The 14,752-nt window shown below is 40.6% G+C and overlaps 1 protein-coding gene and 1 non-coding gene across 8 annotated transcripts in view; one reads left to right on the top strand and one right to left on the bottom strand.

The window, feature by feature from the left end:
• IGF2BP3 (insulin like growth factor 2 mRNA binding protein 3) overlaps positions 1–14,752 on the top strand; it is a 160,283-nt gene that overhangs the window by 60,368 nt on the left and 85,163 nt on the right. For 3 of the 7 annotated variants that reach the window (XM_011515089.3, XM_011515092.3, XM_011515093.3), the window contains one exon: positions 7,539–7,553. The exons of the other annotated variants lie outside the window; for them this stretch is intronic. In XM_011515089.3, coding sequence (XP_011513391.1) covers positions 7,539–7,553 — 15 coding nt within the window. The remainder of the gene's footprint in view (positions 1–7,538; positions 7,554–14,752) is intronic. 7 annotated transcript variants of the gene reach the window in all.
• SNORD65C (small nucleolar RNA, C/D box 65C) lies at positions 13,608–13,678 on the bottom strand. The gene has a single exon (NR_145734.1). It is a non-coding gene; the product is annotated as a small nucleolar RNA, C/D box 65C (small nucleolar RNA).

The following is a 14,752-nucleotide window of genomic DNA, read 5'->3' as shown; positions in this document are numbered from 1 at the left end:
GATCTCGGCTCACTGCAACCTCTGCCTCCTGGGTTCAAGCGATTCTCGTGTCTCAGCCTCCTGAGTAGCTGGGATTACAGGCGCCCACCAACATGCCTGGCTAATTTTTGTATTTTTGGTAGAGATGGGGTTTCACCATGTTGGCCAGGCTAGTCTCAAACTCCTGACCTCAGGTGATCAACCCATCTTGGCCTCCCAAAGTGCTGGGATTAGAGGCTTGAGCCATCGCACCTGGCCAAAAGTTTTAAATTTTAATGAAGTTCAGTGTATTCATTTGTGCCAATCTCATTTTATGAATAGTATTTTTGGTGTCCTGTCTAAAAACTTTTTGCCTAAATCAAAGTTATGAAGGTTTTCTCCTATTGTCTTAAGCCTATGGTGCATTTTGAGTTAATTTTTATGTAATGTATGCTTCACAGGCTGTGGTTTTATTTTTTGCATGTAAATGTCTCATTCTAACACCAAAAATTGAAAATATTGTTCCTTTTCCATTGAATTGCCCTCACACTTTTGTTACAAATCAATTGACCATATTTGTGTGGGTCTGTTTCTGGACTCTTTTATCCCATTGATTTATGTGTCTGTCCCTTTGCTACTACACTTTCTTGGTTACGGTATCTTTATAAGTCTTAAAATTGAATAGTATTATTCCTTCAACTTTATTGTTTTTCAGAATTGTGGCTATTGTCTTTACTTTGCTTTTCCACGTGTATTTTGGAACCAGCAAGTCTATACACAAAAATTCTGCTGGGATGTTTATTGGGATTGCAATAAGTTAACAACAAAAAAACCCTTTTGGAATAATTATCAACTTTACTAAGTTGTCTTTTTATGACTGGCTTATTTCACTTAGTATGCTGTTCAACCATGTTGTAGCACAGGGGTCCCTAACCCCCAGGCCTCAGACTGGTACCATCTGTGGCCTGTTAGGAACTGGGCTGTACCACAGGAGGTGAGTGGCAAGTGAGCGAGCATTACTGCCTAAGCTTCACCTCCTGACAGATCAGTGACAGCATTAGATTCTCATAGGAATGCATACCCTATTGTGAACTGCACACGTTGAGGGATCTAGGTTGCTCACTCCTTAGGAGAATCTAATGCCTGATGATCTGAGGTGGAACAGTTTCATCCTGAAGCCATCCCCCCCATCCCCACTCTCTGTCCGTGGAAAAATTGTCTTCCATGAAACCAGTCCCTGGTGCGAAAATAGTTGGGGACCGCTGTCGTAGTATGTGTCAGAATTTTCTTTTGAAAGTTAAGTGTAGTATTCCTCTGTCTGTGTATTCTACCTTTTGTTTATTCTTCTGTCCATGGGCATATGGATTGCTTCTACCTTTTGGCTATTGTGATCAATGCCACCGTGAATGTAGGTGAATAAATATCTCTTTGAGACTCTGCTTTCAATTCTTTTGGGTATGTACCTAGAAGTGGGATTGCTGGATGTTATAGCAGTTCTTCTTTTCCTCTCCTTGAATAAACCAGTGAAAAAGATGTTATAGCAATTATGTTTTTAATTATTTCAGGAATTGCCATTACTGTTTTCCATAGCAGCTGTACTGTTTTACATTTCTACCAACAGTGCCCAAGTGTGTTCTAACTTCTCCATGTCCACTTCAACACTTGTTATTTTGTTTTGTTTTTTTTTCTAAATAGTAGGTGAATATTATTTTTTAAGTTTGGACTTCCACTTGTTTTTAGTATGTAGAAGTATTTTAAATTTTTGTGTGTTGACCTTATATCCTTTGACATTGCTAAACTTACTAGTTCTGAAAGTTTGTTTTTTATTTTTTAATAGATTGCTTGGGATTTTCTACTTAGACAATTATGTATTCAAATGGGCATAGTTTTATTCCTTTATAGTCTGTATGCCTTTTCTTTTATTGCTGTAATGTACTGTCTAGGACCTCCAATGAGAGTTGACATCCTTACCCTTCCTCAATTTTTGTGAGAAAACATTGTCTTTCATCATCACATAAAATGTTAGCTGTGGGTTTTTTGTAGATACTCTTTATCAGGTTGAAGACATTGCCTTCTGTTTCTAGTTTGTTGACAATCTATATGATGAGTGAATGTTGGATTGTTTCAAATGCTTTTTCTGCATGAATTGATATTATCATGTAGTTTTTAGGCTGTAAATGAATTACATTGACTCCCCCCCCCCCCGCCCCCCGCCCCCTGCCCCCCACAAATGTTGAACCAACCCTGCATTCCTATGATAAACTCCACTTTATTGTGGTATTTTATTCTTTTTGCTTGGTTTAATTTGCTAACATTTTTGTTGAGGACTTACTGTGTCTCTGCTCATGAAGGATATTGGTCTGTAGTTTGATGTTTTTTGTATTGCCATTGATTTTGTTATCAGGGTAACACAGCCTTAAAATGTGTTGGGAAAACATGTTTACCTTTTCTGGAAGTGATTTGCTGAATTGGTGTTATTTCTTTAAGTATTTGATAGAATTCACCTGTGAAACCACTTGAATAATTTCTCTCAGAAGTTTTTTTTTTTTTTTTTTTGGAGACAGAGTTTTGCTTTTGTTGCCCAGGCCGGAGTGCGATGGCCCAATCTTGGCTCACCACAACCTCTGCCTCCTGGTTCAAGTGATTCTCCTGCCTCGGCCTCCCAGGTAGCTGGGATTACAGACATGCGCCACCATGCCCAGCTAATTTTTGCATTTTTAGTAGAGATGGGGTTTCTCCATGTTAGTCAGGCTGGTCTCGAACTCCCAACCTGAGGTGATCCATTTGCCTCGGCCTCCCAAAGTGCTGGGATTACAGGCATGAACCACCACACCCAGCCCTTTTTTTTTTTTTCTTATGCTCAAATTCAATATCTTCAGTAATTATAGTGTTCTTCAGGTTATTTCATCTTGGGTCGTTTGTAGTGTTCAAAGAATTGGTCAATTTCATCCAAGTTGTTTCTTTTTTTCTTTTTTTTTTTTTTTAATAACTACATCATCATGGACAAGTTGCATAAAGCTTTGTAGTATTCGCTTATCCTTTAATGTCTGTGGGGTCTCTAGTGATATCTCCACTTTTTAATTCTGATACTAGTAATTTTTGTGTTCTCTCTCTTAAAATCTTCATCAGCCTTGCAGAGCTTTATCTGTTTTATTGATTTCTAATAACTTCATGATGTTGAAGCTGAATGAGCTTCTCTGTCTCCATGATTTTGAGAGGTGAAGGTGGCTGGGCTTCTGGGTCAGGTGGGGACTTGAAGAACTTTTCTGTCTAGCTAAAGGATTGTAAACACACCAGTCAGCACTCAGTTTCTAGCTAAAGGTTTGTAAACACACCAATCAGCACTCTATAAAAACGCACCAATCAGTGCTCTGTGTCTAGCTAAGGGTTTGTAAATGGACCAATCAGCACTCTGTAAAATGGACCAATCAGCAGGATGTGGGTGGGGCCAAATAAGGGAATAAAAGTTGGCCACCTGAGCCAGCAGTGGCAACCCGCCAGGGTCCCCTTCCACACTGTGGAAGCTTTGTTCTTTTGCTCTTCACAGTAAATCTTGCTGCTGCTCACTCTTTGGGTCCACACTACCTTTAAGAGCTGTAACACTCACTGCAAAGGTCTGCGGCTTCACTCCTGAAGTCAGCAAGACCACGAACCCACTGGAAGGAAGAAACTCTGGACACATCTGAACATCTGAAGGAACAAACTCCAGACACACCATCTTTAAGAACTGTAACACTCACCGTGGGAGTCCACGGCTTCATTCTTGAAGTCAGCGAGACCGAGAACCCACTGGAAGAAACCAATTCCGGACACAATTTGATTAGTATTTTGTTTCCCTGAGGCTTCCCTTTTTGATTCTCCAATCAGAAAAGCAAGGACCTTAGATACCTTGCGTGGTTGTGCACTTCCTGTAACTGTATACATGTCCAGGGCTAACGAGAGGCAAACAGACGGAAAAGAAGCAAACAGGTTCAATCCATCCCCTTGGAACTATAGCTTCTTCCCTCCATCAGTGTTTTAGATCAGTGATCCCCAACCTTTTTGGCACCAGGGACTGGTTTCGTAGAAGACAATTTTTCTTTCTTTTTTTTTTTTTTTAATCAGAAAATTTTGATCATGGCTTTTATTTCTTTGCAACAGTCGTCCAGAGGTTCTGAAGAGAACTCACCGGTTGTAGAGTCTGTGTTAATCACCCAGCATTAATATTTCCATTGCTCCATCATCATGTGTAAGCCTGTCCACAGCATTCTTCTCCAGAAGCAAACTTGCTCAACCTTTAGTTTCACATCAGTGAAGGCGAATTCTTTCACCAAGATGGACTTGTTTGTTCTCAGGAAATCCATACAGCCCTGGTTGAAGAGTTCAGAAACTCTTTTTATGCATTAAAACAATTTTTTCATGGTTGGGGAAGGGGAGTGGTTTCGGGATAGAAACTGTTCTACCTCAGATCATCAGGCATTGGTTAGAATCTCATAAGGAGTATGCAACCTAGATCCCTCGCGTGCGCAGTTCACAATAGGGTACGCACTTCCATGAGAATCTAACGCTGCCATTGCTGATCTGACAGGAGGCGGGGCTCAGGCATTTAAGCCTGCTCACCTCCTCTCACCTTCTGCTGTGCGGCCCGGTTCCCCTTTCTTGCTTCTCCAGCCTAAACTACAAGGCTTCTCCTAAGATCTGTCTGTATCCACTAACAACTTGAAAGTTTTTTGCTGCTGAGTCTAGGCTGGGGCATAGCAGAGGGAAAAAAAGAAGCAAATCACTTCAGTTTCTGTAGTACTATAGAGTTCCTAGTCTGTCTGTTATCTTTACTTTGAGTCTTCAAATTATTGTTTGATACTTTCTGTCTAGATTTTTTAACTGCTTTCAGTGGGAGAAACAAGGTGGGTGTGCTTATTGAAATTTGTCTGGATCTAGAACCTGGAACTAAAGTTTAAGTTGTTTCTTTGAATATTGTTTTTTGATGCCTTTTAAATTTCAAAAGAGGTGAATTTGAATTTTTCATTTCTCAAGAACAGAGTAACTACTCATAAGTGATTTGCTTTTTTCTTGTAGATAACCTTTGGTTGAATTGAGACTGAACAGGACTTACCCTCTTAAAAGAAATGCGTGTTCAATTTTTCCATGTGACTCAGCACTAGAGATGTGTATGCAGTGCTCATCATTTTAAATTTAAGTATATAAAAACCTTCACTTGTTGCTCTTTTCCTGTCTTTCTACCTCCAGTTTTAATGAACAAAATATACAAGGTTAAGACTGGGGAGGGCAAAGGTCTCCTGGTAGGGTTTTAGAACAGTAAACCAATTGGGAGTGACAGGGCACTATTAATGCTGTGTCTAATTTTATTATCAGCAACCAGAAAAGCAAGAGTTTTCTCAGTACTAAGGCCATCCCCACCCCCACCCCCCACTTGCCGTATTTTGATTTCCTGAATGGCCTACTTTGTCTTACTCAAAACACAATATTACTATTCAGTAATTACTATTCAGTATTACTTTCCATGTGGGGATGAGAAAGGCTATAATTTACTGCGATCTTGCCTAGATGTCTATTGTATATATTCACAAATACCTTTCCTCAGTTTTTTATTCCAATCTGGTAGACAAAGGTGGTGCTCAGTAAGTTAAGTGTTGGTTGAATTGAGGGTGTATGATGCTTTTCAAAGCTTGACTATCAACCCAGATAGAGATTTCTGTGTTCATCTTGCTGGATTTTTTTTCTTGTTTTGTGTCCACTACTCCTAGACTCTCACATGTGTCCAGGTATATATACAAAGATTGAAATTGTTTAATTAGCTTACTCTGGCTAATGGTAATGACTGATATTTCAGATTTCTTTTTAAAAGAAGGCCTATATTTGATGTGTCTATCTTTCACTCATTTTTATGCCTACTCTCATATTCTTAGCTCATTTCCTTCTCTTTAGTACTCTGCCTTTGGGTTTTAGAGTAACTTAATATCACACATGTGGGTTGTGTCGATTATGAGCAGAGCAATATGCGAACCTCTTTTTTTTTTTTCCATTTGATTTTTTCAAGACTCTGTCACCCAGGCTGGAGTCAGGTGGCACGATCACGACTCACTGCAGCCTTAAACTCTTCCTGGGCTCAAGCAATCCTCCTGCCTTGGCCTCCTGAGTAGCTAGGACTACAGGCACATACCGCTGTGCCCCATTAATTTAAAAAAAAAAAAATTTTTTTTTTTGTTTTACAAACAGGGTCTTGCTACATTGCCCAGGCTGGTCTCAAACTCCTGAGCTTAAGCGATCCTCCTCCCTTGACCTCCCAAAGTGTTGGGATTACAGTCGTGAGTCACCGTGCCTGGCCAAGTACCTCTCTAGATGGATTCTCTTCTTGTTATATTCTTAGAGCCAACCCTAGATATAGAAGGGAATTGTGCTATTCTTATTTTTAAAAACAACAAAGTAATTGGGAAATGGAAAAACTTGCCAAGGTCTTGCAGCTACCATTGGCTGAATTAGGATTTAAACTAGGCAGAACCTCCTTTTTTAGCTGCTACTGTATCTAAACTGTATATTCTTCTGTCATCTCAAACGTGGAAATAAGGATGACTTCTAATATCTCCTGCAAGTTCACTTACGCATTTTTGACTTTTAGCACCAATTTCATCAGTGTTTTTATTGAGATCTATAATTTCCTCCTATGTAATGTTCCAATTACAATCCTGAAGTGAAATTCACAGAAAATATAGCCACTTATATATATCTATAATTTAAAAATCAATGTAATGTCCTAGTAATACCAGAAAGGAGACATAAAAATTATTTATACAAAAAAATTTAGTACATAAATACTTAGGCATGATCAGAGTTTAGGCATAATGAAATAGCTAAGTGCTTGTACCATATGTAGAATAATCCTCAGTGGACCAATACTGGTGTTGAGACAGGAATAATATACAGGCAATGCAAAGTTGTGTGCTCTCAGTTTAGTGGTTTTCTCTAGTGATAAGCAGACCAAAATATAATAGTATCTTGATTTACATGATACAGTTTTGGAAGATGCAGTATATATGAAAACTGAGCAATAAATATTTTGTCAGGTTATAGGGTCAGATAAATGGGTTTCCCCTGTATCTGAATATCAAGGACCTTCAAAGGCTGTGCAGGACATGAGGCCACCTCTCTTTATTGTGTGAAGCTGTACTGCACACTTCAGGATGTGTGACATACCTGGTCTGTGACTATCAAATATTAGTAAAAGACTCTTTTCCTAATCCCAAAAGATCCACAGATTTCTAAAACCACTTCCTTAAGGGGTGAAGCTTTCTCCATTGAGAATTACTGTTCTAAATCATTCCTTCCTTAGCTGTGTTGAAGGACCAGTTATTTTTAAATTTCTAATTGATTACTGACTTTTTTGTAAAACACAATGAAAATAAATTATTACAATGAAATTTTAAAGTCAGCCAAAAGACAAGCTGATTTTTATTATTAGATTCAACAGACATAAAATTCTTGTCAGTCTGCTATAAAAATTTGTAAATGCTTAATCTCCACTTATAAGTTTGTCTTGTCATGATATGGTCTCTATCTTCATCTCACTCTTTTTCTTCCCACAGTCACCCAAAATGACGGTATGTTCCTAAAATACTTTCCCGTGGAAGGTGTAAGTTCCCCTCTTCCTGGCCAAATGCTCAAATGTTTTACTCCCATCACCTCCTTTGTTTTGCATAAGTATCACTTTCTATAAAAATTATCATTTAATGATGGAAATGAACTTAACTGCCTTTACCATCAGCAGTCTCTTTTTATCCATGATAAAATTTGCAGAGTAGTTTAACAGGCATAACTCAAGCTGTTTATTTCTTCTTAGCTTTATATACTTACGGATAGGAAGTCATGCAGTACAAGTGTGCAAAAGTTCTGCAAAGTATATGTTACTTTTGCTGATCACATACAGGTAAATCCATCTTAGATGATCTGATTTCTAATACAACTCAACTCTAAAAGTCTAAAAATATCTCTGAGCTATGTATTAAGCAGGTGGTTTTGGACTTAGACTGCATTTCTTTGTTTGTTTTTGTTTTTGAGACAGAGTCTTGTTCTTTCACCCAGGCTGGAGCGCAGTGGTGCAATCTCGGCTCACTGCAGCCTCTGCCTCCTGGGTTCAAGTGATTCTCATGCCTCAGCCTCCCGAGTAGCTGGGACTTCAGGGACACGCCACCATGCCTGGCTAATTTTCGTAATTTTAGTAGAGATGGGGTTTTGCCATGTTGGCCAGGCTGGTCTTGAATTCCTGACCTCAAGACCTCAGGTGATTCACCTGTCTCAGCCAACCAAATTCCTGGGATTACAGGCTTTACAGGTTTCAGCCACCGTGCCCGGCCTAGACTGCATTTTGCTTCATGCCAATCCCTAGGGCAGCAGTGACTTTTTTTTTGGAGACGAGTCTCGTTCTGTAACCCAGGCTGGAGTGCAGTGGTGCAATCTTGGCTCACTGCAACCTTTACCTCCTGGGTTCAAGCCATTCTCCTGCCTCAGCCTGTCAAGTAGCTGGGATTACAGGTGACTGCCACCAAGCCCAGCTAATTTTTGTATTTTTAGTAGAGACAGGGTTTCACCGTGATGGCCAGGCTGGTCTCGAACTCCTGACCTCAGGTGATCCACCTGCCTTGGCCTCCTGAAGTACTGAAATTACAGGCGTGAGCCACCGTGCCTGGCATAGCAGTGACTTTTCAAATCTTAATTTCAGAAGACTTCCTGCTGTATTTTTTGTACTGTGAGTTTGAATGATGGAAGACAATTCCTAATACAAGGCAGGAAGGGTCCTGGATTATCAGACTCCCGGCAGTTCATGATGCTGCCTCCATGATGCTGGCAGCCATGATGTTGATGGTGAACCCCCTCAGCAGGGGGCCCGCAACTGTTCCTCTGGTGGGTCTGTGTGAAGGCAAGTACTGCTGGGAAGGGGTCCTACTACTCGGCCACAGTGACTGAATCTTAAATATGGATGGTGTCCTTACTTTTAGTTACTCTGTATCAGCAGAAAAGTTACAATTTTTAAAAGGAGACCATTTCTTCAATCATGGTTTAACAATTAGGGTTTTGGGCTGGGCGTGATAGCTCACACCTGTAATTCCAGCACTTTGGGGGAGGCAGGCAGGTCACTTGAGGTCAGGAGTTTGAGACCAACCTGGGCAACATGGTGAAACCCCCGTCTCTACTAAAAATACAAAAATTAGCCTTGTGTGGTGGCACGTGCTTGTAATCCCAGCTACTCGGGAGGCTGAGGCACGTGAATTACTTGAACCCAGGAGGTGGATACTGCAGTGGGCCAAGATCGTGCCTCTGCACTCCAGCCTAGGCCACAGAGCAAGGCTCCATCTCAGAAAAATAGGGTTTTGACAGCATCTTAAATACTTCTGCTCTTCCAGCTCACTCATTTTATACACAGTCATTACACTGCGATGCATATGGTTGGCTTTGGTGTGTGCTTGTGTAGGTATTTATGGTTGGATCCATGCACACAGTCATGAGGTGGCTTTTGAAGTTGTTCTCGTGTGAAATGGAAATTCTTGGGCATCTAAGTATTTCTTAATTTTCAGTGGGTGGAACAAGTACAGCCAGATTGAAGGATGTGCTTTTATCACGTGCCTTGCTTTCTGAGGCTGGGTCAGCCTTAGTCAGAATGGCCCCTTTTGGTTGTAATGTTGGTGTGGCAGACAGTACTTAGGCTGCCACACCAACACAGAGATATGAAGAACCTCTGATAGCATTGTCCTCAAAATGTTACCCTGGAGGAGCAGGACAAGGTCAGCTGTGGCTCTCTAAGTCCAAAACCACCTGCTTATTATATAGCTTAGAGATACTACTTCTTCTAATGGTGAAAACTCCAATTACTTTTGTACCAACCTAATACTTTGTTTTAGACTTTCACAGAATTGAATTGCATTAGAAATCAGATAATCTTAGATGCATTTGCCTATTTGTGATCAGCAAAAAGTAATATAATACTTTGGAGAACTTTTTCACATTGTTTTAATGCATGATTTACTATCCTGGAGAAACAAGATATTGGAAACACAAATGTTTCTTTAGTTGCTCAGCTCCTGTGTGCCTCTTAGATGTACTGAGAACATGTTTAAGGATGCAAACTTTTTATACCATGTATGCCTTATCCACTAGCCAAGGACCTGGTGTGGCATTGAAGTAAAGATATGACAACTTGTTCCAATGTTGGGGAAAAAAAAACTGGCTCATATGGCTCAGTGGGAGATGGTGTAGAAATGTGATTCCTTTCTTAGGAATTTTAAAGTGACTTTTTAAACTCTCTACTTTGGGAGTTTTCAAACATACACACATTGAGAAAATAGTATACTGAACCCCCCATCTACCGACCTTAATGATAGTCAACATTCTGCTTTTGTTTTACTGATCAATATTGCTTCACTGTTTTTAGGTGGAGGAGAGGTGTATTATTTTAGAGCAATTCAATATGAGTGATGGTATAGAAAATTTACATTGCTAACATAAAATAAGAATAGGTATATTAGTTTCCTATGCTGCTGTAACAAATTAATCACAAACTTGGTGGTTTAAAGCAACAGAAATTAATTTTTGTTCTAGAAGCCAGGAGTCTGAAATCAGTCTCTGTGGGTTAAAGTCAAGGTTGTCATGAGAACTGGCTCCCTCTAGAAGTCTTAGGGGAGAATCCGTTTGCTTGCCTTTCCCAGGTTCTAGTGCCTGGCTGTAGTCCTTGGCTTTCATGGTTTCCTCTTTCTTTTTTTTTTTTTAATTTAATTTAATTTTATTATTATTATACTTTAAGTTTTAGGGTACATGTGCACAATGTGCAGGTTACATATGTATACATGTGCCATGTTGGTGTGCTGCACCCATTAACTCGTCATTTAGCATTTGGTACCAAAACAGAGGTATAGATCAATGGAACAGAACAGAGCCCTCAGAAATAATGCCACATATCTACAACCATCTAATCTTTGACAAACCTGACAAAAACAAGAAATGGGGAAAGGATTCCCTATTTAATAAATGGTGCTGGGAAAACTGGCCAGCCGTATGTAGAAAGCTGAAACTGGATCCCTTCCTTACACCTTATACAAAAATTAATTCAAGATGGATTAAAGACTTAGATGTTAGACCTAAAACCATAAAAACCCTAGAAGAAAACGTAGGCAATACCATTCAGGACATAGGCATGGGCAAGGACTTCATGTCTAAAACACCAAAAGCAATGGCAACCAAAGCCAAAATTGACAAATGGGATCTAATTAAACTAAAGAGCTTCTGCACAACAAAAGAAACTACCATCAGAGTGAACAGGCAACCTACAAAATGGGAGAAAATTTTTGCAACCTACTCATCTGACAAAGGGCTAATATCCAGAATCTACAATGAACTCAAACAAATTTACAAGAAAAATACAACCCCATCAAAAAGTGGGCAAAGGATATGAACAGACACTTCTCAAAAGAAGACATTTATGCAGCCAAAAAGCACATGAAAAAATGCTCATCATCACTGGCCATCAGAGAAATGCAAATCAAAACCACAATGAGATACCATCTCATACCAGTTAAAATGGCAATCATTAAAAAGTCAGGAAGCAACAGGTCCTGGAGAGGATGTGGAGAAATAGGAACACTGTTACACTGTTGGTGGGACTGTAAACTAGTTCAACCATTGTGGATGTCAGTGTGGCGATTCCTCAGGGATCTAGAACTAGAAATACCATTTGACCCAGCCATCCCATTACTGGGTATATACCCAAAGGATTATAAATCATGCTGCTATAAAGACACATGCACACATATGTTTATTGTGGCACTATTAACAGTAGCAAAGACTTGGAACCAACCCAAATGTCCAACAATGACAGACTGGATTAAGAAAATGTGGCACATATACACCATGGAATACTATGCAGCCATAAAAAATGATGAGTTCATGTCCTTTGTAGGAACATGGATGAAACTGGAAACCATCATTCTCAGCAAACTATCGCAAGGACAAAAAACCAACCACTGCATGTTCTCACTCATAGGTGGGAACTGAACAATGAGAACACATGGACACAGGAAGGGGAACATCACACTCTGGGGACTGTTGTGGGGTGGGGCGGGGGGAGGGATAGCATTTGGAGATATACCTAATGGTTTCCTCTTTCAAAGTGTACCACTTCAGCCTCTGCTTCTGTCCTCAGATTGTCTTCTCTCTGACTTTGCCTCCTCTCTCGCCCCTTTTGTAAGGATCCATGATTACATAAGGCTCACCCGGGTAATCCCATATAATATCTCCACCTCAAGATACTTACTTATACCCTCAAAGTCCCTTTTGCCATATAAGGTAACACTCGCAGTTTTTAAGCATTAGGAGGTAGATATATTTGGGACCATTATTCAATTTACCACCAGTGTAATCAGCACTCAAGTGTCAAATAAATGCTAATAGGACCACAGCCTTGAGAGTGGGGACTCTAAATACTCAGTGGTGAAATACATTAAGATAAAGTTCTTCAGTACCTAGAGGGATTTCTATGCAGAATACATTTTGTCATTTCATGTAGGGGATGCAGCATTCCTATTATGAGATGACAAGATAGAAGGAGGCATGTGTTGGTGTAAGGCCAGTTAGGTGTTGAAGGAGGCATGGCGTATGGCTAGTTAGATGATAGAAGGAGGCATGTGTTGGTATAAGGCCAGTTTGAGACCTTAGAGGAGACGGCTGCAGTTCAACATCAGAGCTGAGATGGTGCTAGTTCATGGCTCCTGTCTCAGGCTTGACACTGACAGTTGACAACACGGTGCTCTCCTGGGCCTTAGGCCATTCTGTCACCCTCCCTGAGCTGTGGAGCTGAGCTCCTTCCCTGTCCTTGCTTCTGCCTCTTCTTAGAAGCCTTTTTGAATTTATCAGAGTGCCTACTATGTGCCGGAGGAGAATTTGCTGCACAAGACAACTTTGATGTCTTATCCAAGTCAGCTTCTCTGAACTCGCAAAAAAACAGATTCCTTCTAGCTCTGATTTTCACTAAATGTTTCTGAGGTCTTGGTTATTCTCCACATAAACCTGGAGACATACTTTTCATTAAAATATAAGGCAGAGGTATGGGGTTTCTGGGTCTGAACCTCAGAATAGTCGAATGGAAGACAGGGTAGGGACTTTGAGGGCAGCTTCTTACTGGCTATGAGACTTTGGATAAAAGTGACAACCATACAGAGTCCCTTTCCCATCTGTGAAAATGGGATTAACAAAAAAAAGTCCTTTCAGGGTCAATGTGAGAACCAGCGAATAAGACAAGTGCCTCGCCCTGCTGCACTGTGAATTAACTTTTTTTGGAGGCATTTGTCCTTTGGCTGAAATTCACATGCTGTGTGCTCCAGTACTGTGAAGTACTTTACTTCCTCAACCCCATCCTTCTCTTAGCTTCAGGACTTTTTGCATACATTTTCTTTGCCAAGAATCCATTTGCTCTTTTTTTTCCCCCCCAACAGTCTTATTTTGTTCTGGATCCTTTCCATCTTTCTTTATTCTCACCAATTATTTAGCCCTCAATTTAGACATCATTCCTACCACGCTTGGATTAGACATCTCTCCTGTATTTCTCCCATACTTAACACTATGGTAGCACTTAACATGTAGGCTTGCATTATCTCATGTATTTTTTTTTTCTTCAGAAAACTAGGTTTATTGCTACACAATCTGCCAGTAATTCCAGCTATTTTGGGTGATTTCATTATTTGACTTAGCATTGTGTGTGTGTGTGTGTGTGTAAGTACATATTTCAGAAGTCAGAGTCTTCTCTGTTGCCCAGTGCAGTGGTGAGATCATAGCTGACTGCTGCATCAAACTCCTAGGCTAAAGTGATCCTCCCTCCTTTGCCTCCCAAAGTGCTGGGGCTATAGGTGTGCACCCCTCCCTGCCCCCTACCCCCAAGCCAGCACTTTATATTTAATTGTCTTATGACTTGTGTCTGTTTCTCCCACCAGAGCTAAGGTGGGTAGGGCTCTGTCCTCCCATGTTATCAAAGACCCAGAACAATGGCTGGTGTGGACTTGCTGGTCAGTATTCACTCACTGAAAGTGTATTGGTTGGGAATTTTTTCAACTCTGTAATGGGTTATTGGGTTAAAAAAAAAAAAAAAAACTCACTGGATTTTTTTGTGTAGGGGTGGGGTAGGGGGATGGGTATAAGAAAATAGGATATAAATTTGTTGTCTCGGGTCATTGAGGTTTGTATTTTTGTTATTTTCTTCTTTTTTTGAGATGGAGTCTCGCTCTGTTGCCCAGGCTGGAGTGCAGTGATGTGATCTCAGCTCACTGCAACCTCTGCCTCCCAGGTTCAAGCAGTTCTCCTGCCTCAGCCTCCCGAGTAGCTGGGATTACAGGCACCTGTCACCACGCCCAGCTAATTGTTGTATTTTTAGTAAAGACAGGGTTTTACCATGTTGGCCAGGCTGGTCACGAACTCCTGACCTCAAGTGATTCACCTGCCTCAGCCTCCCAAAATGCTGGGATTACATGCGTGAAACACTGTGCCTGGCCTGTTGGTTTTTCAGTTAATTTTTTTCTTTTTTTGGGGGGGTGGGGGTAGAGATGGGGTCTCGCCATATTGCCCAGGCTGGTCTCAAATTCCTGGGCTCAAGCTGTCCTCCCACCTCAGCCTCCCAAAGTGCTGGGATTATAGGTGTCAGCCACTGCACTTGGCCCGAGGTCATTGAGTTTTATTGATGCAGAAATCACTGAAGTTCTTACAAATGTTTTCGTTTTTTTGTTTCTTTGTGTTGTTTTTTATTTTTTGGTGGTGGCAAATGGAA

The sequence above is a fragment of the Homo sapiens genome, chromosome 7, assembly GCF_000001405.40.
Source record: "Homo sapiens chromosome 7, GRCh38.p14 Primary Assembly".
NCBI classification, from domain to species: Eukaryota; Metazoa; Chordata; class Mammalia; order Primates; family Hominidae; genus Homo; species Homo sapiens.
Note: the sequence above shows the minus strand (reverse complement) of the source record. Positions and strands in the feature narration are given on the sequence as shown.